The sequence below is a fragment of the Homo sapiens genome, chromosome 7, assembly GCF_000001405.40.
Source record: "Homo sapiens chromosome 7, GRCh38.p14 Primary Assembly".
Lineage (NCBI taxonomy): Eukaryota > Metazoa > Chordata > Mammalia > Primates > Hominidae > Homo > Homo sapiens.
In genome coordinates, this window is record NC_000007.14 from 108291145 (window position 1) to 108314932 (window position 23788).

The following is a 23788-nucleotide window of genomic DNA, read 5'->3' on the forward strand; positions in this document are numbered from 1 at the left end:
TCCTTCCTCCATATAACCTCAATCCAACACCAAATTAATTTACATAGCATGAGTGTTCTGAATTAAACATGCCATGGAAATATTTTATTATCTCCTGCATTTACTTTGGATAAATACTACTTAATTGGACTCCCTTCTGAGTAATTCAAAATGCACTATCTCAATGGGAAATAGAATTAGTTTCATTATGCAATTTATTTTTTAGTTAAAAATAGCCAGCGAACAAGCAAATGCTTAGAGGTCATATGCCTGATGCTATATAATTAGAAAACCAGAGATTAATACAGTGTAATGACTGGCATAACAACATAGAAAAAGACAAGTTGATTTTAAAGAGTTTGTACTTTCTCAAATGTGTCTTTCTTGACAGGTAAGCATGAGTCAGGACTGGCTAACGATAGTTATCACTGACTGGTTTTTAAGTATATTTGTTATGTATGTATATACTTAATGCATCTAAATGAAGACAGTGATCAATGTTTCTTTTGACCGTGCCTGAAACTAATATATCACCACAAATTCTCTAAGTTACAGAGAACAGGAGAGGAAGAGAGACAGAGCGACAGAGAGAGAAGAGAAAAGAAAGTATAGAGGAAGAGACACAATTTTATTACTCCATAAGAGGAGTTGCAACCTGACTATAATCTTAAACTAAAACATTTAAAAAAAGGATCTGAAATCTAAATGGCCGTAATTTTCTGAAAGAACACTGTGGTGTTACACAAAGACAACCTGACAGAAATCAGAAAGTCTTTGTTTCCAATTAGTTTAGTGGTCTCAAACTCAAATGCCTAAGGGGGCCAAGCAGTTAAAGCTAAAGAATACAGCTGTGCAGCGGAGGAAAGGGCACTGGGGCCCCGCTTAAACAGTGCAGGGTGCTGCTACTCAGCTTTAGCTGATAGTGGTCAGGGAAATATACACCCAGTTTTGCAGATCACTTCATTTTTCTTTTAGCCAGAAATTCAAACTTTTATATGAAATCAACTGTTTTTTAAAATGGTACCAACTAATTTAAAAGTGCTATGTGGCTTCAGGGCTCTGGGTGTAAGAAATACATCCAGGGCCAGATGCTGTCTAGACCTTGCATGGCTACTAAGTAGCTCTGGTCCCTTTGGGACTGTTTCCTAATCGGTAAAATAATATGTCCAAGTTTCTGTTGGCACTAGATGCTTATTCTGGTCCTTTTATGTAGCACATTTCTTTACTTGTGAAAAAACGGTTTAGATATTTTAATTTCCAGTGTTAGAATACTGAAACAATATCAAAGTCAGAAAGGATAACCTGAAAACATGGATGCAATTGAAGTTTTAGAGACTTGCTTACTAACTCAGGAGTATGTTTTATCCACAAAAGTTTGTGTTGTTAAATATGTCACACAGAGTTAAGTAAAAAATCATCAAACCAGTAGAGACAGCAGTTTCAATTTTTGAGAGGCAATGCTTCCTAGTGGTCAAGAATACACACTGGAACCAGTCTGACCTTGGTTCAAAGCCCAGCTCCTCACTTACTAACTGACCTTATGCAAGTTACTTAAGGTCTGTATGCCTCAATTTCCTCATCTGTAAAAATGGGGATCACGGCTCCTATCTCATAGGGTTATTACGAAGTTTAAGTGAGTCAGTGGAAAGTGCTTAGAATGGTGGCTGACACAGAGAAAGCATTAGGAAAAAATTAGCTGTTGTTATTTTAACTGGCGTAAAACAGCTGAGTGTTAAAAGCACAAATGAATAGCTAAATCCAGCAAATCTCCTACACTGGTTGAGCTAGCATTTTACTGTAAAATATTTAAAAGACATTAAACCCAATCTTTATCTGATGAAGGCCCAAATCAATGGTTTGCTAAAATCCATTTACAAGTTACTCCACTGGTAACTTGTAAATGAAGACCTAACATGCAACAATTCATAGAAATCTAACAGAGGTCAACCCAGAAAACGGGGGTCAATGCAGTGGAACAGGGGCCATGGAAAATCAAACGGTGTGAATGCCTCATCCTTGGTTTCCACCCCCTTGTGATTAATTAACAGCCTTACTGCATCCACCCACCAGCTGTATCCTAGCTCATAGGCCTGACCCCAACTGAGGACTACAACAGTATCATGAAAACTGTGCTTCTAATTGTCCAGCGGGCGATCACGGCTTGGCTAAGAAAGGCTCTTTTCACTCCCCTCCTTTCTGATTAACTAGATGGCTTTATAAATCGCCTTAATAAGTTCATTTGTGTAACCCAAGGCTAGCTGCCCTTCCTTCCTGCTGCTAAGAGGGCTCAGCTGCTTATCTTTGGATATGACCCATCAGAAGAGAATTGCAAAAAAACATTTTTAAATCTGCTAAATTGACAAGCAACGCTGATCTCACGTCTCCCCTAATTTAGTCATGTTTTCCTACGTCATAAAGGAAGTCTAAGTGCAGGCAGTACACTGTGATACTGGCAGAAATCTTTTGTAGATTATTTTAAAACCCTTATGATTGTCTCCTAAGCAGTAAATTTGATAACTGCCAACAGGACTGTGTAAAGTAACTAAAATTCACAGACATTTTTATCATTTCTAAAAGGTTTTCATATGTATTATATCATTTAGTCTTCACCAAAACTCTGCAAGATATTATTATTATTCTTCTCTTTTTACAAATGAGAGATTTAGGCTCAGAGAGCTTACGTAACTTGTATAAGATCACATTATTACTGTGAGTTAGATACCGGCTTGATTTCAGGTCTTCTAATTTTAAACTCAGGGCTCTTTCCACTATCACACATGTGCTGATTAATTCACCTATTGTCTTTTAGCCCACACCTGTTCCTCTATACCTTATACTACTGGAGCCAGGAGTTTGCACCCTAAATTTCTCATACTCTTACTAGTTGTCTTTCCCTTGGGTTCTGCTAATTGGAGGTACTGGTGAGCAATAAGAAAGCAGGATAAAGACAAAAGATTCTTGGTTCTGAATCTTAAAATGAGGCAGTTGATGGCAATTGCTGTAGGAGCAGTAGGGTTGATGTGATTTTGGGCTCCAGCAGCCCAGGAAAAGCCAGCACTTTCTTTACTGGTTTTTTTTTTTTTTTTTTTTTTTTTTTCCTTTTTTGAGACAGCAGCTCTTGAGTGAACTCACAGTCAAACTCAAGTGTCACCAACCCACTTGGACTTTCAGGAACAAGCTCATGGGCTCCTGCCCAGAAGGGCTAACTGCTTCGAATCTGGGGATCACCTCTTCTTCCTTTATGTTCCTCCAACACCCCTCTTTCTCCCTGTTGCAGTTCCAGCTTTTCCAGTATATTTCCTTGTTCAAAATTCCTAAAGTGGCTTCCATTTTCCTGCTGAATGTTGCTTTGCACCCAGATGGAAGTCAAGGATATTAAAAGGGATATAAAGCAAATGACACTGTCCCTGCCTTGAAGGAATGTGTAATTTTCTAGATGATAGAACGAATGCATTTGAACCAAGAATAAACAAAATAGACATATCCAAGGGCTTAGGTAAATTGTACACAGACTACTTGTGCAATGGGAAGGAAAATGGGCACTTCATCACAAACTCTATTTGTGTGCTGTGAGGAGAGGGACTTGCATTTATGTTTTGCCTTTGGCATGCAGTCTAGTCTGTTCTCAGTGGATCCAGAAGCAGCCCCTTGTCTAGCTCACCCTTACGGTCTTCCGAATCACTTCCCCTTTTTTGGACATGCTTAGTTTATACTTCCTGCCCCGCAGCCATCTCTGGTGCCAAGTTGTCTGCCCCATTCTTGTTCAGTTTCCTGTTCATTAACTTCTGGCTCATTATTACATTAGTATCCCTAAAGTCCACATTTGCATCACCACACATGAAAAACGTTTTGTCTATAGCAAAAAGGGGCACAGTGATGACATATATGATTTGGTACAGAACTACTAATAACAACAGGGGTTAAGAATGGGTGAAAAAGTGATTAAATGATGAAGAGATTGTCAAGTATTTTGCAGCCCTCATTAAATCTGTTGATTTTGTATTTTTCCCCTAAAATGGAAGAATTCTGTGTCATTTGGGATTAAGTTTTATTTAATTTTAAAATGACAACTACTCTTTACAGAGGGCTCGCTCTGTACTAGGCACTTTTCATATGTTAACTTTTTTACACCTCTCTAAAATCAAATGTTCTATAGATGAGTAAAGTGGGGTCTACAGCAGCTAAGTTACTTCTCCATTCTCTTAGTCTATTCAGGCTGTTATAACAAAGTACCATAAACAGGGTAACATAACAGAAATTTACTTGTCACAATTCTGGAGGCTGGGAAATCAAAGGCCAAGGTGCTGGCAGATTCCATGTCTGATGAAGACCTACTTCTTGGTTCACAGATAATTTCTTGCTATGTCCACCCACAGTAGAATAGGGCAAGACAGCTCCCCGGGGCCTCTTCCTAAAGGCACTAATCCCATCCAATAGGGCTTAACCTCATGACTTAATCAACTTTCAAAGACACCACATCCTAATGCCATCACATCAGAGATTTAGGCTTCAACATATGAATTTTGGGGGGACACAAACATTCACCTCATAGCATTCATTGTTTCTTGTTATTGGCAAAGCCAAGACTCACATTGTCTAAGTTATTTGACTTTTGAGTCCGCAGATGTGAAAACAGTGCTAAACAGTCCATCTTCATGAGTGGAGAACAGCATTTGTGACAACCACCAAAGTACCTCTGTGGTCAGTGTCCTCAACCAGGGCACAGCATCATGGACCAGAGCCTCTGCAGGGCACAGAGGAGTGGTGAGGAACAGGGGCTCTGGAGCAACCCCACTTCCCTCTGCTTTGTATATGGGGGGTTCTGCACATGACTGCATTTGAAAAGGGCTTCACTGCGCTTGCTGAAGGAGTGCACTTGAGCTAGCGGAGAGTTCCCAGAGGGTGTCTGGAAGAAGCAAAGGCTATTCTTTGTTTCACTCAGTTATAGATGGAAGTCAGACACTTCTGCCTGAAGTACTTTCACACACTCCACAGTCTTAAGAAGGATGGAGAAAGCATGCCAACTACTCAGAGAACCACAGGTGTTCAAGCAATGGTATCCTTTTATCCCTACAACTAGTGGACAAAGTGGGGCCTCTGTAATTGTGAAGCTAGGAAAACTTCTCTGTGGTCTCTTCCAATCGTGCACATTTTCTTACACAGGTACTGGCCTTTACCCCTCTCCTCAGCTATTAATATCCTAATATCTTTGCCTAGAAAGAACTGAAGTAGAGCCACTAAAGTATTACTTATGGATGAAACCTCAGAGGTTTCATTTCAGCAAGGATCAGAGCAGAAAGTCCCTGGCACATGGAAGAATATACAGGTGACTCAGAGCGCTAATGCCATGTCTGATATGTGACTGAAGCAGTAGCAACTCAATAAATATAGAACTGAATTAAGGAAACCAAGCCTAGGAGGAGAAGTTCAGGCATTAGCCAGCAGGTCAGGATGGTTTTTGGAGGGAGGGGGATTGTAGGGGGTCTTCATACCCTGATATCAAATATGAATGCAGGGTCTGGATCAGGTCTTGAGAATAGATATTTTTTACTGTATGAATAAGAAACATGTTGGCTTTAATGTTAGTACTACAAAACACAGACCCTGTAATTAGAAGGCCATTAGGAACATTGTTCTTATTCATATGATCTCTTGTGCTTTTACAACTGGCAAATTAAATTAATTATTAAAAGAAAAATCTCTAAGAAACAAATAACGAGAATCCTTCTCCCCAAATAATCCGTTTCCCTATACCATTACAGAAAATGATGTCACTTTGACAGAATTATTAATGTTATTTACATCCTGAGCAATGCATTCTTTTAACCCGAAAGAGGGTACTAGGCAAAAAAATTAATTTCTTTGAGAACAAGCATTTTTACTTAAAATATATGTGGCTGTGTCGATTAAGAGCCTCCTCTGTGTCAGTGCCAGGCATTAGTCACAAGCCAAAGGCCCAATCAGTCTTTGTAAACTTATGATCGGCTTTCAACCCCACAAAGCCTGTGTTTGTCAGTAGGATACTTGCTTCTCCAACTACTGGTTAAAGGATCAGTGACATACTTCAAAGATTTTGAGAACAGTTTCTGTTCTTTTTGAAGAGTATTTATTCTCTCAAAAACAAATGCTAGATTTGTTCATTTGGTCCAAAAAATGAGAGGAACATTTCTTTTGATTGTTTTCCAACTCTACCTCCGCATTTTAACAATGGAAAGCCACAATACCCTTTCCTCCTGCTAGCAGAATTTGTGAGTAAGCTGAGTTCCAAAAAAATGCCATTTCTAAAGCTTTAGAAATCAGGGTGTCACAGAAAATTAAAGCAGCATTTAATTAGCTAACAACATTATCTGACAAAGGGATGAAACTTTCATTATCTGACAAAGAGCTGAAACTTTAATGTTTCATAAGTCATCATTCATTCATTCATTTGTTCATTGAGCAAATTAAGTACCTATTACATGCCAGGCAGTGTTCTTGGTGCTGGGATACATTCATGAACACAATAGTCCAAAGTTTCTGTCCTCACAAACCTTACATTCTAAAGGGAGGGAAACATAAAAAAAACAACAACTGCAAATTATATAGTTTCTTAGGTGGTATTACAGAGAAAAAAAATAAAACAAAGGAAGGGGTACAGGGGTTCCAACATGTCAATGTGTGTGTGTGCATGCGCACGTATGTGTGTGTATATGCACATGCGTAATATACTTTCTTGCCACAGGTTCAGGAAATAACTCACCAGAAAATGATATCTGAGCAAAGACCTAAAGAAGAAGCAGCGAGCTATGGGGATATGTGCAGGAAGAGTGTTCCAGACAGAGGGAGCCTCGGTGAAAGACCCTGTGGTGGGAGCATCCTGGCTTGCTCATGGGGCATCAAGGAGGCCAGTCCACCTGCAGCAGAGTCAGGACAGGGCTTTGGCTTTGTACAAGCTTAATTAAGACAAAGAAACAGTAAAACACCCAGAATAAAACACTTTATAATCTGGAGATCATTAATAAAACTAAATACGGATTTAAATAAAATCCACGTTGCAAAGCTATACTTTATTACCAATAATCATATTAAAAGAAACAAGTACATATTTAACATGATCATTGTCTAGAAGGCATTACTGAAATTATTATAATCTAAGCAGGTGGGGGATATATGAGGAGATAGTTTTAGGGTGTGACAATGTAAGGGGCTCACAGGACAGGACTCCTCTATCCAAAACAACCCCCTCCCCGCCAAAAAAACCCGCAGGGCACGGTGGCTCATGCCTGTAATCCCAGAACTTTGGGAGGCCGAGGCAGGAGGATCACAAGGGCAGGAGATGGAGACCATATTGGCTAACACGGTGAAACCCCGTCTGTAATAAAAATACAAAAAAAAAAAAAATTAGCCGGGTGTGGTGCTGGACGCCTATAGTCCCAGCTACTCAGGAGGCTGAGGCAGGAGAATGGCGTGAACCCGGGAGGCAGACCTTGCAGTGAGCCGAGATCGCGCCACTGTACTCCAGCCTGGGTAACACAGCGAGACTCCATCTCAAAAAAAACCAAAAAAACAAAAAAACAAAAAACACACCAAACAACAACAACAACAAACCCAAACCTTCCACATGGAATTCTTCTGCTTGAATCTAAGGATTTAAATTTTCCTTCCTTTGTCTCTCTTCAAGACTATTTATCTTCCAGATTCTTTTATTAAAACACAAATACGGGGCCAGGCGCAGTGGCTCATGCCTAATCCCAGCACTTTGTGAAGCCGAGGCGGGCAGATCACCTGAGGTCAGGAGTTCAAGACCAGCCTGGCTAACATGGTGAAACCCTGTCTCTACTAAAAATACAAAAATTAGCTGCGCCTGGTGGTGCATGTCTGTAATCCCAGCTACTTGGGAGGCTGAGGCAGAAGAATCGCTTGAACCCAGGAGGCAGAGTTTGCAGTGAACCAAGATCACACTACTGCACTCCAGCCTGGGCCACAGAGCAAGACTCCATCTCAAAAAAAAAAAAGAAAGAAAGAAAGAAAGAAAGAAAAGAAAAGTAAAAAAAAAAAAAACCCAAAACACTGGGTGAGGACGCAAAGGGGCCAGGGAAAGGAGTAAAAAGTCACATCAAAGCAGCTATCAGTAAATTTCTTCTGAGAAGCAGTAGTTACCGAGCTGCCTTTGAAATCCTGTGTGAATAAAACGTGGCTCAAGTTCCTGGGTGACAGCTCTAGGAAAGAAGAGGTGGCATGGGTTGAGGAAAAGGTATAAAAAGTGAGCTTTCATTACCACGATTTCTATTACTGTGGACAAAGGTCAGACCTGTGAGCAAACCACAATGACACTACAGTCCAAGAATTTTTTTTCAGATAGAATCAGTCATATAAAAGATAAGAATACCCAATGTAATAGCAGGCAAGCATTCCTAACCATATTATATTGTTTGGTCTGGAATTTGTTTTTCTCTTTCTGTTGCACCTATTTATTCTCTGCAATGCACACAAACATGGAATAGATATTTAGAGCCACATGTGCAGTGCAACAACCTTGACAGTCTTTAGATTTATTATTTGATGTGAACGGGCAGCCGGGTAATAACTTTGACTTCCATATGAGACCTTATTTGTCATGTACATACAGCACATTGACCAGAAGTCTCAAGGCCAAGTGCAGCTCTTGTGAACTAATTAAGCATTCTGGTGGGCACATTTTGTGTCCAAGCAGCGATGTGGTGGTGAAGTACATGAACTCTGGAATTAGACTGCCTTGGTTTGAAGCCCTGCTCTACGGTTTACTAGCTCTGTGTCCCTGAGTGATGTAATTAACACTGTACCTCGATGTCTTCATCTATAAAATGAGTATAAATAACAAGTTACTGTGAGGATGAGATAAAACATGTGCAGTACTTAGAACATGTCTAGCACATGGTAAGCCTCAATAAATGGTGACTGCTTTTACTACAGTAGAACATATGGTTTTCACAACAGGTATCACTAGGAATATCTAAGCCTCCTGTTAAGATATTACTGCCTACATACAAATGTAATCCTTCCCCAAATTTCTGTTGACTTTTTTTTTTTTTTTTTTTTTTTTTTTTTACAAAAGAGCAAGAGAAGAGAGACAAAGCCCTGATATTGAAAAAACACTGCTTAGGGCATATTTGATTATTCGCAATTGTTATTGTAATACTATGCTAATTTTACCTTATTAAATATTGAAGAAGGCCATCACCATTGGGAAGAAGTTAAAATATATTATATAAAATTAAACTAATTTATCTTTATGCAATAAAATGTTAGAGGATACCAGATGCTATTTTTATAATAAACATCTATTTTCTAAAAAGGTCATTATGTCATGCATACACAAACAAACAGAGAAGCAAAAGAGAAATGCATCCCTGGGTAAGTTGAGATCCTTCTAGAAAACATTTTGCCTCCATGTTGTGTTAAACTAGGGACACCATTGAAAAGACTAAGTCAAATTTCCAAAGAAAAATGTCACATGTCTATCCTGTTGAGGCACATAGGCTAGGTGGAAGTGTAAGGTAATGATAAAGGCATCAGGCAAAATTTGTATCAGATCTGGCTTTGCAACCTGGAATTTCTCCATTTTTTTTCTAATTTATTGTGACATTAAAATTATGGTGCTCATCTGGGGGCAGTAAAATATTTTATGACTTAAGAGAAACTCAATCTTAGAAAAGATTATTTTTAAATTCAAATTTTTGATTAAAATATCATACTCAATACAACTCAATAACAGAAAGCTTTTTAAAAAAATTACGTTTTTTTAAAGCTTTTCTTAAAAAATTATGTTTTATTTTACGTTTTATTCAGGAAATAGAATTACATTTCATTGAATCAAATTTTTGTTAAAAATAGTTCTTTAAAAAAATAAAACAGCAAACTACACAACATTCTCTATATTCTATAAATAGAAGTAAAACACTCCATTATAAGGAAGACCATTATGTAATACCAAAAAACAAAGAATAATTTTGATAATAAAATGAATTTAAATTGTAATGAATTCTCTAACATAATCTGCAAAGAATTCTATATAATTTGAACAATTTTAAAATACTGTTATTGCATATCTGAACAAAGATTTCCCATTCCTTTTACCAGGAAAAGAGTTAAGGACAGACGATTAATGTAATTTCATTACAGATGCCAAAGTGTGTTATCTGCCAGTCAGATTCAGAACAATGGCAAGCAAAATGTGGAAATGTTCTTTTCCACAGACAACATTTACAGAAATTAAAATAAGTATTAAGTGGTTTTCCAGAAAATAGGTTCCATGACCTACACAGATTTCTAGGACAACAGCAACTAATGAAGAATTGGTACCAGGCACCTGGGAAGTCATTAGCACCAACAAGGCGTGACCGGTATGAGCTACAGAAGAAAACAGGCAGGGTGCCCCCATGACACCAACTGCATGACCTCTGACCATCCCATCTCATGTTTCTGGGAAAAATTTTTAAAGTGCCAACTCAGGTGTTTCAGATTTTTTTTCTTTTGCTTATCCTATGGACATGAGAAGTAGAAGGGAAATTAGATAATTTTGCTATTTTTGAAAAAAATATGGCTCTTTTCCATTTGATTGAATGGAAGATGAATGGATAGTGGTATGGGTTTTGATTAAAAAATATCTAGGGGCTCAAAATGAAAAATTTATGAATATGAATTATTTGGGCATTTAAAAGTATGATTTGGTGCATTCATTATGGTGAATTTGTGTATAAGTACATACGAATTCCCTCTGAGGCCAATACATCACTTTAGGACACTATTTCTGAGACTTGCGACTCAGCTTTGTACATGCTCTAGGGTTAAATGCCTTTCATCATAATAAATATGAAATAATTATTAAGATGAAAATGTTTCACAGAAATATCACCTTAAACATGTGGCCTGTGTCTAACTGATCACCCTTTCTAAATAGTGACCAAAGTACAAAAAAAAAAACCCACAACAAATCAACAACAGAAACAATGCAGCTCTTTCCCCTTATATTTCACTCAAATTTGTCTGCTTAGTAATAATGACATATTGTTCCGTGTTATTGCTTCAAAAAATGTTTCCAGTGACCCTTGGGAATGCTATGTACTGTTTTCCTTCATTTTTGCTCTTGGCAAAATTTTCTTCATTCAGATCACTCTTTGAGAAAATAATTTCAGTCTGAATTGTGCACATTCTAGGTCCCTCAGTTAATATAAGTTTTTGACCTTTTGGTTTCTACAGCTAGTTCTCTTGGAGATGACTGATGGCATGAATTCTACTTGCATGGAGTCCCCGAGAAACCACTCCTCTTCTTCAAAAAAGTACACTAAATCTCAGGACAAACTGGGATGACCAGTTATCACTGCTGCCAACCCTGTTTTGTGAATTCCATTTAAGATGTCCAACTGAGAACAAATTATGTCTCAAATAAGATTGTATTCACAGAATGATGGAACTAAAGTTCTTGGTAAATTTAAACAAAGTGACAGAAGGCAAGGAGCTACTGTCCTCCTCAAGGGGCAACCTGCTTGACTCCCAGCATCTCTGCCTACCATTCCCATGGCCTCACCTGTAGTTTTGGGATCTCAGTACAAATATATCTAGCAAAGCAATAATTTCCTAACTGCTTTTCTCATCTTCTATGTCCTTTCACCAAACTTTCCTAAAATATAGATGCCAAATTAGCCTTCTCAAAACAACACTGGGCATATATCACTTCTCACTCAAGAACTTAATGAGTTCATAACTGAATATAATTCAAACTCAGTATAGTATATTCACAATTAGACATATTTTAAACAACAGATTCATCACAGTCCTGTCTTCCTCTTAAAAGCAGCCCTTCTGCTGCATTTTATTTTTTATTTTATTTTAGTTTTTGAGACAGAGTATTGCTCTGCAGCCCAGGTTGGAGTGCAGTGGCTCCATCTTGGCTCACTGCAACCTCTGCCTCCTGGGTTCAAGCAATTCTCGTGCCTCAGCCTCCTGAGTAGCTGGGATTACAGACACGTGCCACCACGCCCAGGTAATTTTTATATTTTTAGTAGAGATGGGGTTTCACCATGTTGGCCAGGCTGGTCTTGAACTCCTGACCTCAAGTGATGCACCCACCTCGGCCTCCCAAAGTGCTAGGATTACAGGCATGAGCCACTGTGGCTGGCTGTTCAGGTACATTTTCTACTCTGGTCAGTATCACCACCATCTGTCCAGTCTCTAATGGCAGAGATCAGGCCTTGCTCTTCCTCATTCTTCATTCTCAGTTGGCAAATATACTGTGTACCGTCTCCTCTTCAGCCCCTCTGCTAGGACAGTGGCCCAAGCTCTATTGCTTCTTATCATCTCTAGCCTCCTACTGGTTTCCAGCTTCTGATTTCACCAGTACTCCAATCTATTCTACATATAGCTGCTGGGGTGTCTGTTCTGAACTCAGCTCTGACCACGTGACTCCTGTACTCAAAATCTGTAAATGGAATCCCATAATCTATCCCAAATTCCTGGCCACAGATGACCTCTCCAACCTGTCTTCACAGCACCTCCAACTTCTCCACCTTCAATCATATACCAAGGCACTTGGAGTGTATCTACTACATGGCTTCATGTAGGATCTAGTTGGCCTCGGCTCTCCCAGAGCCTGGAATGTCCTTCTCCATGTCTGCCTGGGGGATGTCCACCCATGTTTCATGTTCTTTCTCAAGGATTTTCCTGATGCCACCATGCAGAGTTGCTACATTTACCTTTATATCACTATTACACCTTTACATGTATATGTACACAATACAGATACATAATATATATGTATATTTTCATATTTTTGTACTAATTACACCACATTGCAATTACTGTGCTGTATACACTCCATGTACAGCTTACTTGCTACTGTTTAGGAATATCTGAAGCACAGTAGCTCACTTATGAATGAATGTATAAATGATCATTCATTCATGAAGAAAGGAGGGAAGAAGTGAACACCTCTCCAAAATTACTTTCAATCATTTCTTAGGTCTACTTGCTGCTTTAAACAGGTTTACTTGTTTTCTCTTTTACTATTCAAATACCATGCTTATCTCCCTCCCCACTCAAGACATTGTGATTTTCCCCACTGTAATTTCTACTCTTTTTAATTTTTCTAAACTACTTTTAGAATAATTCTTCCTTAATGATCAGTTAAAGTCCAAACCAGTCATAAACCTTGGTTAGTCTCCCAGTACCTACTGGTCACCACTCTTTTGAACTCCTAGAGCACTTTTGGCCTCTACAACACATTTAACCATCAATAATGCTATTCCATGCTTTTTTTTTTTTGATGTACATATGTGTGTATATGAACAGTCAATTTATACATATACATCTGAATGAGTGTGATTCCCTGAAGAGCAAGAGCTGTATCTGGCTCTTTTTGCATTTTATCACCTCTCTCAGTTCCCTATTTATAACAAGCAATAGATAATGTTTATTAATAAAGATGGCCACCAGACAGGCATTACATGTAGATTCCATAAATTAGTATCTTATTTGTACCAATGAGACCCAAATGACTTCAGAATAAACTGTGATTTATTATCAATAAAATGTTGAGGTTCTAGGTTCAACTATAAACAATGTTCCCAGCACTCATTCAATGATTACTGAACATGCTTCTTATGGGGAACCACATTTGACTCATAACTGAGGGAAATCTGTTTTATAAAAGAAAGGCTTTCCATTATGTACTCTTTGTAACAAGGGTCTTTCCATACCCTAGATATTGGCTCACTTACTGGATCAAGGCAGCTACATTACAAAAAAGAAAATAATTTGGACAGAATCAAGAAGTCTATTATAATGTAGGTATTTGAAATCTACCTCCTTGCTGAACTTGGAGATTGATCTACAGAAGAAAAATCTTAGCATCTAAAGGTCTGTTTTCAGGAAAATAAAAATGTCTATCAATCTACCATAAACCTGTCTGGGTTATCAACAACCATCAATGAGAAGACCCAGGGGAAAATTTAGGGTATGTTTTCCTTAGGGATGACTTCTGGTTTGGGTAGAATATATTTATTTTTCCTACTCCTCTATGGCAAGAAAGTTTTTCAGATACCTTTAAAAATATATCCCAGTCAAATAACTTATTATTTGGCAAATCAAATCGATTTGAAGACTGTTTTTGCATTAAAGAATATCTATAGTTGGATTCTCAGTAAGAGAGAAATGTTACATAATAAAGAAATATTTTATAGGACACTTGGAACGTAGATATATTTTCCAGGTCATTTGAATCATTTAAATATGGTACTTTTGTCTAGTCATATTTGTCAAGATCCTTCTCAGTTTTTTGTTTTTTTGTTTTTTGTTTTTTGCCCCAGGGAACGAAGCCATTTAGGAAACTACATTAACTGCATCTTCTCTGTGCTTTTTGACAAAAGTAAATAAATAGAAATGTGCAGAAGCCATTTCCCCTGTGCTTCTTCTCCGTGTTGGACTGTCCTCTGCCTTCCATTCTCTCCTTTCATAACCTGTTCCTCCTATGGCCTTTCCTTCCCCAAGCTAACAGCTTCTGTCAGCAGCTTTATTCAGTACAGTATCAAAAGCTTTGCAGAAAACCAGATTAATTGTGCTCACTGCTTCTCTTTGTTTACCCCTTCAATTCTTGCAGAATTCAAGGCAAACCAAGAAAATGCATATCTAATTATACATGTATACTCCCTCTTAGATACCTTTTTGGTGCATTTTGCTTTTAAATAGATCGTATAATTAAAAGTTATCTGAAAACTAATACATTTCAAATAAGATTAGTGTTTCCAAATATAGCTTCCAAATCTAACATGTATTAAAATGATTTAAACACATATTCTGTGTACCGCAAGTTCCAAAAGAGAAGTTTATGTATGCAAATGCAAAAGAAATAATTCAATATTTTCCATTTTCCACAAATACTCTCTGTGAGACAGATATAAACAACCATTTAAAATAATAGTGAATTTTGGGGTTAATTATTATTACTGAAATAACAGAAGTTATGTATTCTGTGAACCTCAAAGCAGACCTTTGAATAGTCTTGTCACTAATATGTGTTAAAAGAATAAAGAATCCTCATTGAAGTCTTATTCTTAAAAATATCAAAATGCCATCCTTCACCATTAATTTCATGCCAAGATTTAAGAGCAATAAATATTGTAGACTTTACCACTTCTTTATATAATGGCTTCATACGATAATTTTTTATTATATAAAAATTCCCTCTTATTCAAGATGAATTTGTTTGCTTTGCTTTTACCAATGTTAAAGGTAATTTTTCTGAATAGCACGGATGGTTTCCTCTGTTAAAATACTATAGTGTGAGCCTCAAGGCACAGCAGGCAATGCCATCACCCCAGCACCACTGGGCCATTTCTTCTATGGCTGAACCTTCTCACATCATTTTAAAACATGGCTTTCTAATCCTTTTGGTCTTCTTGCTGAGAATTAAAAGGTTAGAAAGTTTTTAAAGTAGTAGTAGAAGTCTTATGTCTCAAATTACAAGTTACAAATTACAAAAACCTCCCACTTATCTTTTTCAAACCATTAGTTAGGTAGAACCACATCAAGGTAAGTCTTTCTGGAAACATGCTACGAAACAAACATGTTATTTAATGAGAATTCAGAATACAGCAGGAGAAGTCACAACCTGGAATGAAGCAGAGTGGAAACAGAATTACCCTGTCTGGCCTGAAAGGAGTGGGTTTCCAAGTGAGACTCCAAGTGTACCAAGTGTCTAATGGGCAATCCATTTACACATCTCTTCCCATATTATTCAAGTGCAAACTGTACTCCATAAGTATTTTCAGTTTTATTTCTTTACAAAACTTTTGAAAAGAATAAAAATAAATCCCTGGGTGGGATTATGCACAGGACAGAGAGATGCCACTAAGCCATGCCACCAAGCATTTGTGTTTATTAGAAGAGCATTCCTCCTATGAACATCATAGTTTATAGAGTCCCAACTAGATTATAATGTAGACACTTCTGTCAGATGATAATATGTCTGTAAAAAGTCTGCTAGATCTGTATTTTATTCATAAAGGCAATGGTGTGAAATATACACACAAAAGACCCATGTGTAAAAGGGCTCATGTGAGCGAAGCAGCAGCCGGGGAGAAGGCATATCCAACACACCTCAGGTGCAGTGGCGGCTTAAGGAGGCATCCCAGGAACACATTAATCAACACATTCAAGGAATGCATTAATCAACACTGCTATAACGGCTGGCATGCCCATTGTTTCACTGTAGCATGCTAAAGAGCACAGAGCAGCAATGTGAATGTGAATTTCCACCATGCTACAAGAAACAAAACCCTTTTCAGGACTGGCTCCATGCACCATATCCTACTCGACTCTTTCAATAGAAATCATTCTCTCCTGTATTCGTGGTAGTTTATGAACTTGCTTTCTGCAACAGTCAACCAGAAACAAAGAATCTTTACAGACCAGCTAAGTTTGACAATAGCTGTAGAAATGCCTTCTGCAGATATGAAAACTTGAATCCATCCAAGAGATTTTTTTCTTTGCCTTACAAAATGAATGCTGTCATGAAAGGCAAAATAAAAGAAAACAAAGCAAAGCAAAAAAAAAAAAACCCAAGCATCTATTTGTGTATGCAGTCAGTTGTGACAGCAACATACTGCATTACCAGCAGGGGCCTGGTCCTGGCCTCCTGCTCCACACTGGGTTTCATTTTCCTCCTGGGTAGTTCCCTAGATAACCCTCCTGTCAGGATTCGACTCCCTCCAAAAGCAGCCAGGGATGAAATGGCCAGATGCTGGAAGGAAGAGACATGATAAAATACCCGCAGAACCTAGGCACACATGTCTACCTTTGTATAGAGTACCATGTGGACCTGAACACCTGAGGCCTTCCAGTATTCCTGCTGTGTCTCACTTCCAATTGTCCATACTTGGAGTATCTCACCCATTAGGTTATGTTGCACAATTAAAGTTCAATAAATGATGATTCTGGTGATAAGAATGCTGAATACAAAGATCCTAACTCAATGAATAAGGGATGCCATTTATAACTTTCATTTGGAATAAGCTTCCTCTCAGGGTGAGAATTATTTTAATAGAGGTTGTACTTGCTGGGAACAAGAGCCACAGGGCAGTGCCCCTGCCTTTTGGTGGCACTGTTCTGGTCATTTTGGTGAACCTCAAAATTAAAGTCTATGGGTCACGAATCTAGACTTATTTCATCACGAGTTCTGATTCTAATAATCCCAGAAAACAGTTAAGAACTACAAGCCAAAAGTACAGCAAGGAAAAGAAATCAAATCCAGTAAGTATATGCAAGAAGCTATTTGCAAAGGTCACGCATTAGCCCTTTGGTGTATAAATGCTAAGTGCTCTACATTTCATGTACTGGAGTGACTCAGGCAGTTTTTTATTTCCAGTTTCAAACCAGATATTTCTCCCCACTAGGCTACAATGGGAGGAGAGGGGGGAACACATAAAAGTTGCAGGATTCCTTCTACTGACTACTAGCACCAATTATTGCTGCCACAAAAACATAATGCCACTGTTTTCATCATTGTCTCACTATGGCATTATCCTTACCCAGCTATCTCCCAAGAGAAAATGCTGATGTCTTTCTTCAAACACATTTCAACTGCTCTTTCTGAGCCTTCAGAAACAGCTATCAAACTGAGCAGCCCAGAGTGGTGGGAGTGGTGAGAAGGGGGATAAGGTGAGATGTCCAGAGAAAAATGGCTGTGTCCCATAAGAATAATGAGGACAGGATGCAAGAGGCAGAAATGAGATGCCTAATCAATAAAGGCATCTCAATCACGGATGTGAATAAAACTCAGAGATAAATATCAGGAAATGTATAATTTAGCCTCCCTACAGAAATGTTGCACATTGAATTTAATATGCTTCCATCTGACCCCAGGACAGAGAGCACTGCTCAGACTTCATGTGGAAATGGAAAGCTGAGCAGTCGCCTGGGTTGAAAGAACAGAATGTTCTTCACTGCATTGTCATTCAGCTTCCAGGAATGCTGCATTTCAGTGGTAAGTAGTCATTCTGTGAAAAAGTTCATCACGATCACAATAGAGGGACTGTCCAAGTATGCTAATGTTTCAAGAGATGTCACTTAGTTGAAATCTGTGCCTTGCCTTCATGCTATGTCACAATGAAGAGGGAGGAAGTTAATTTGTATAAGAAAAGATTGTTCTAGTTTTCCAGATGACTACATATTGAATCAAACTTTACTGGTATAAAACAATAAAGAGGTAAATATTTTTTACTTGGAGTTAGATCCCTGTCTTGGTTTTTATAAGTTCTAGGCATCCCAGAGTAACTGCTTTATTCATGAGCTTTTAATCTTCAGCTTCATGGGGCAAGTATTCTTTCTGTGGGTGCTGGGTCTTCTTGATTTGACTGGTATCAACTAAACTCAGCCTTAAAATGATCCTGTAGGACAAAATTTTGATAGCTGTCTTTACTGTTAAATTGTATTAAAAATTGGCCAGGCATGGTGGCTCATGCCTGTAATTCCAGTACTTTGTGAGGCCAAGGCAGGCAGATCACTTGAGGCCAGGAGCTCAAGACCAGCCTGGCCAACATGGTGAAACCCTGTCTCTATTAAAAATGCAAAAAGTAGCCAGGCATGTTGGTATGCATCTGTAATTGTAGCTACTCAGGAGGCTGAGGGATGAGAATCACTTGAACCCGGGAGGTGGAGTTTGCAGTGAGCAGAGATCGCGCCATTGCACTGCAACCTGGGTGACAAGTGAGACTCCATCTCAAGAAAGAAATAAATTAAATAAATAAATAGCATTAAAATTGTATAACTATTAGGATTTTGTAATAAAATACAGGTTCACTTTTACAAATCAACTTAATTATAAGATAAAAGTCTTTTTACTCTTACCAGTTTTACTATTATCTATTCAGGATGTAACTACCCTTCTCCTAAGATGTACATATAACTTTAACAACTCGGTATTGTAAAGTCCAAGGGAAAGAACAAATTTCAAGTCATCCACAAAAACAGTCAGTAAATGACTCCAGCACCTTGTCAGGTTATTCTTCATACACAGCTTGCTGCCAAATGGGAACATGCTTTAAGGTGCAGCCTGGGCATTCTTCTTCCTCAGACTCCTTATGGTTACTACTAGGACCAAACTTACACGAATGTGGCCAGCAGAAAACTCATTTTACGAAGTGATTTCAGAGGTATCCTCTCTCCTCACTCTGGTTGATTATCAAAATGCCACCACTAGCAGCCTTGCATTTTAGCTCAAGGTTTTCAATGCAGGTAGAAGACAGATTTCCCAGGGAGAGAATGTACACATTAGGGTTAATGGCAAACGTGAGCAGTTTTTATGTGTGACACTGGATAAGGGCAGACAGAGGGCACTTCCCAAACAGAAGGATGTGGGATGGGCCTGAGAGTTTGCAAACCACAGTCCACAATTCTGGCTGCATGCATTTTTCTGAACATCACAGCATGCCAGTGAATGTGGGAAAAACTACTGAAAACTCTAAGTAGCTACGAAAAAAACTTATTTATTCTAATGTCAGAGGCCAAATACTTGAATAGCCTAGGGACATTCTGAGTATAAGTGTGCTTTAGAATTTTGGGAAGTTTCAGTCAGTCTTTGTGAGGCCAGGGAAACAAATTGGGAAGACTCAGTATTTAGTTTTGACAAGATTCAACCATTCACGAAACCAAAAAATGAGACATTTTAGTGGCTCTCATAGGACCTGACAACTAAAAGCTCTCTTGAGCCAATTAACAAAAGGCTAGCCAGAAAGACCAACAAGAAGTGTGTATTGAGAAAAGAAGAATCGAGCCTTTTCACTTGTTGCTCTAGAAGACAGAGATTTTCAATCGAGTACCCTTCACACGATGGAAGAAAGAAAAAATAATGCATCCAGCCAGAAAAACTCCCTTAGAACTACCTGAGAGTGGGCTAGGAAGTGGGAGAGCACCTGCTGTTGAGCCAAGCGTTTCCACCTTAAAAGGGCACCATGTACTTCCTCACAGTGGCCGCTGTTTTCCCTGCTCACCAGAAAACACCATTTTTACAAATAAACTCCCGCCCTCAGTGTCTTACTACCTTATAGATATCAGACAATATATTATCTACGAAAGAATTTTCCATACCTTACTGCTGATACTAGTATTGTACTGGTAAGCCACCATACTTAATACCATTACTAGTAACTCCTAGTTTCTAACAACTGTAATTTGGTATATGTCCCTGTCAGAATGGATGGTACTTACTATCACATTGCTTTACCTTGCAGGTGTTCTTTATGAAACAAGGACACTTGTAGAGGAGAGGGGTACATAAAAACTATATAAAATAGGTCATTTTGCTTCAACAAAGGGAGCTTTCTCTTAAAAGAGCCATTTGTACAAAATTAAGGCTATTTTGGTGTTGGTCATAATTACCTAACATCAATTTTGCTAGTCTCTGCTAATTTTCACTTTTCAGGGACTGTTCAAGCAGAACAAAATTTGTGCTATTTGATTTACAAAGCAACATTCTTAGTTTCCAGTCTACTAATTTGGGGATTTCTGATGGTATTTTGAAACACTGTAAGAACTAGTCATATGAAGTCAGTTTCAATACAACACAATGGAAGCAAATTCAGCTGAGGCATGAATCATTTCCTTTCAATTACAAAAGGACATCTCAATGGATCAGCCTAAGAATTCTCAGTAACAAGAGACAACATGCTCAAAGGATTTTACTATCTCAAAATCTTGTATACAATCTTCTTTCCTTAACTAAAATCCATGAGTTTATTTGTTAAATGAAATCAACAAGGTAAAGAACTGAATGTCTGAACAATCGTGCTCTCATAATTCCTTAAAAAAGCTATTATTGGTTGAGATACAGTTCTCTGAACTGTGTTCCAGATCTCCAAGTAAGATTATTTTTTCATCAAGTTCAGTACTATAATAGATGGCCTTTCAGAAGGCATCATAGGCCTAACAGGGTCCATTCTAGAGCTGATAATGCTGAATGGCATAAATAAGAATGGGGCGGACAGCGGGGTAGGAAATAAGAAATGGGGAAGGAATTTACAAAGCAGAAATCACATTTCAAAGTAACATTTAAACTTTCAAAGGAGATATTTTTATTCTTTGGACTCCATTGTGAGACAAGAAAAATCACTAATGGATGGTATACCCTCAGGAGACTTTTGATATATTATTGAATCAAAAAGAAAATTATTTTCTTGTAAATGATTCCCTATAATTTTTAATCTTTAGTCCCTTTATAAACATTTTTACTAGCAGTGCTTTGCCTCTGCTCTCTATTTTCTGGGCTTTATGATTCATGATTTACTTAAACAAAAATCTTATTACTATGAAAGGACATGAGGGCTGGTTTACTTCCCTATGTATTTGATCTATCTTCTTTGACATTGGTATGATTAATGTTTTTGCATCTATGTTTCTACTCTCTGTCTTTTATCATACTCTCTGGATTGAAAAGTATTAAATATGGCAATAATATTACATAATCACATTATTTAATATTATAATTCTCATCTTTAACTACGAATTCAAATGTTTTGAGAAGACAAACTCTTACCTTTGAAGAAGCTCTTAAGTTGTTCTTCCTTTTAATTCTTTAAACCAAACGTCTTCTTAGCATTGCTCTGTGGGTTAAAAAATGGGAGAAACGTTAACACGACATTGATTGTCATCAATCACAGCAGAGTGTCAATATATTAACTCCAACTGGCTCTCTTATGGGAAACACAATTAAAGAGAGAGCCCTGCAAGGAAGACAAATCATGACTAGATTTGCCAAAACATATCTCTGCTGGCTTCAATCAAAAGTGACAGCAGAGAAGTGACCAGAACTCTGGTGGACATCCCATTAAAGGATTCCAGCCTAGAGAATCACGTCTGATTCCTCTTTTCAGTTTAGAGGAATAAAGGTGTTTTTGTAATGTATCTATACAGTGTGGATAAAATACTTTGCTATGGGCTTATTATTATTATTATTTAAATTTTTTTATTTGGTAGCATAGAAATTTTTTAGGTTATGTTTGAAAGGCCCCAGGTTTTCAACAAGGGTCATAAAAAGAAGCTGGGAACAACCAAGATTTGAGGAGTGAGTTCCACCTGGGCTGTGACAAAGGCAGAGCAGTGGACAGCTCCCAAGTTCTGCAGTCTCCAACTCTCCTCTCGTCAGCCTCAATGTTTCCTTTGCAAATAGTCCAGCTGAGAATTAGCCAGAGAAAGAGAGGAAGGATGGCGAGTAGAACAATCACAGCTGAGCACATTAAGTTTCATTTTTTAAACAACCAATTCAGTGACACCCAAGGTTTCTAAGGGAGGATTTGTGTCTTTTTGAACTTTGGATTTCTGGAAACAGAAGTCGTACTATCAACCTCTGAAAAACCCTTCAGAGAAGAGAAACAAGTGTCAATTCAGGAACTCTGGACTGCACTCAAATATTAGGACAACTATGAAACACAAAATTATTCCGTTAATAAAAGATGCTTAATAATCTCAGCTGGTTTTGCTTATGTATGTGTTATAAAATATTCCCTGCATTAAGTTGCAAAAAATGTTAATTACATATAAAACCACCCTTAATAGATTTTCATTGCATGTGAAGCAATGATATTTTATCAGGACAAAATATTAATATTGTGGAGGTTTGTGATTTTTCCTTAGAATTGGAACCAATTTTATAGTAATATTGTTTTCACTTTTTAAAAAAAACCCTAGAGTTGTGTAGGAGAGCATCTATAAGAATTTTAAGATATATCTACAATAACAACTCAATTCAGCAAACTTATATTGAGCACTTAATACATATCCGCCAATTCACTGGATAAATCTAAACAAGAAAAAAATAAAATATAAATACTTCATGCTTCCTACCATGAGGGATCTCAGTCCACATGCTGATGGATTCCTAAGTTTTAATAGTTCTCAGCATAATCCAGTTCAGGGCAAAACGCTCTAAAAAGCACAGATATGTAATTTTGCATAACATGGTTCCATGGCATCACGTGGAAAAAACTATTTCATCCTTGCTTATATATATTATTGATAGGGCACTGCTACATTTTTAACCACCTTGTGGTGATGTAAACCCTGAAGGGTTTGCAAAGACCACCAAAAGACTGTATTAATTGTATTACCATGTCAGCAATTATGCCCAACATTTCTAGGAAATGACTTTTTGTTACATTCATTACTCTTGTTTTGACAAATGTGTCAATGGCCTTTCATTACCCCAAAACACATTTAGGTCAAGAGAATAGGGTAATACATCATTGCTAAGGACTATTTTTCCAATAACCAAGTAACAATTTAATTTTTTAACCAAAATGCAATCAACTTACCCTATTAAATAAAATCAGTCCTAAGTCAAAAGGTCAAGATAAGATTTGATGTATTTTTAAAGTAGCCTTCAGAAAAGACAGATAACATCCACGCGAAAAATGTAAGAAACCCAAAGCCCACAGTACACATAACAAATCAATTACAATAATAGTAATTCAATAGCATATAACACTAAAAATTCAAATAATTCTGAAAAGTGAATACTTGCCTTAGCCACTTATGGAAAAATAAAATAATAAACTTCCTGTTTCAGAGTAAATTGCTATGGATTGGGACACATTTTTTTGCTGGACTTTTTTGGCAGAGAAAGAGTTGTTTGGTTTTAAAATGAGAATTCATAACATTCAATGCAACTGAAAATCTGCTATTACAAGCAGTATTAGGTAAAAAGTATCAGCAGGCAAAAACTTGCAAAATCTCATTTGGCTTATACTTTTTAGTTCAACTCTAAAGATATTAGAGATGTTTACTCTTTGATTCTTGTGAGGCTGAT

At 37.7% G+C, this 23788-nt stretch overlaps 1 protein-coding gene across 105 annotated transcripts in view, besides 1 other annotated feature; it reads right to left on the reverse strand.

Annotated features, from left to right (window-relative positions):
* The window catches only part of NRCAM (neuronal cell adhesion molecule), a 309072-nt gene that overhangs the window by 143496 nt on the left and 141788 nt on the right, over positions 1-23788 (reverse strand). For 96 of the 105 annotated variants that reach the window (NR_163870.1, NR_163867.1, NR_163869.1 and 93 more), the window contains one exon: positions 21521-21587. The gene's annotated coding sequence lies outside the window, so the exon portion shown is untranslated. Of the gene's footprint in view, positions 1-6718; positions 6873-21520; positions 21588-22059; positions 22159-22827; positions 22909-23788 lie in introns of all 105 variants that reach the window. The other 9 variants (NM_001371162.1, NM_001371139.1, NM_001371126.1 and 6 more) reach the window with 3 other exon arrangements.
* Positions 17801-18095: a silencer, noted in NCBI's record as "tiled region #14594; HepG2 Repressive non-DNase unmatched - State 24:Quies". NCBI's record gives its function as "represses a minimal TATA promoter and a strong SV40 promoter by Sharpr-MPRA in HepG2 cells {active_cell/tissue: HepG2}" and the evidence as "EXISTENCE:reporter gene assay evidence [ECO:0000049][PMID:27701403]".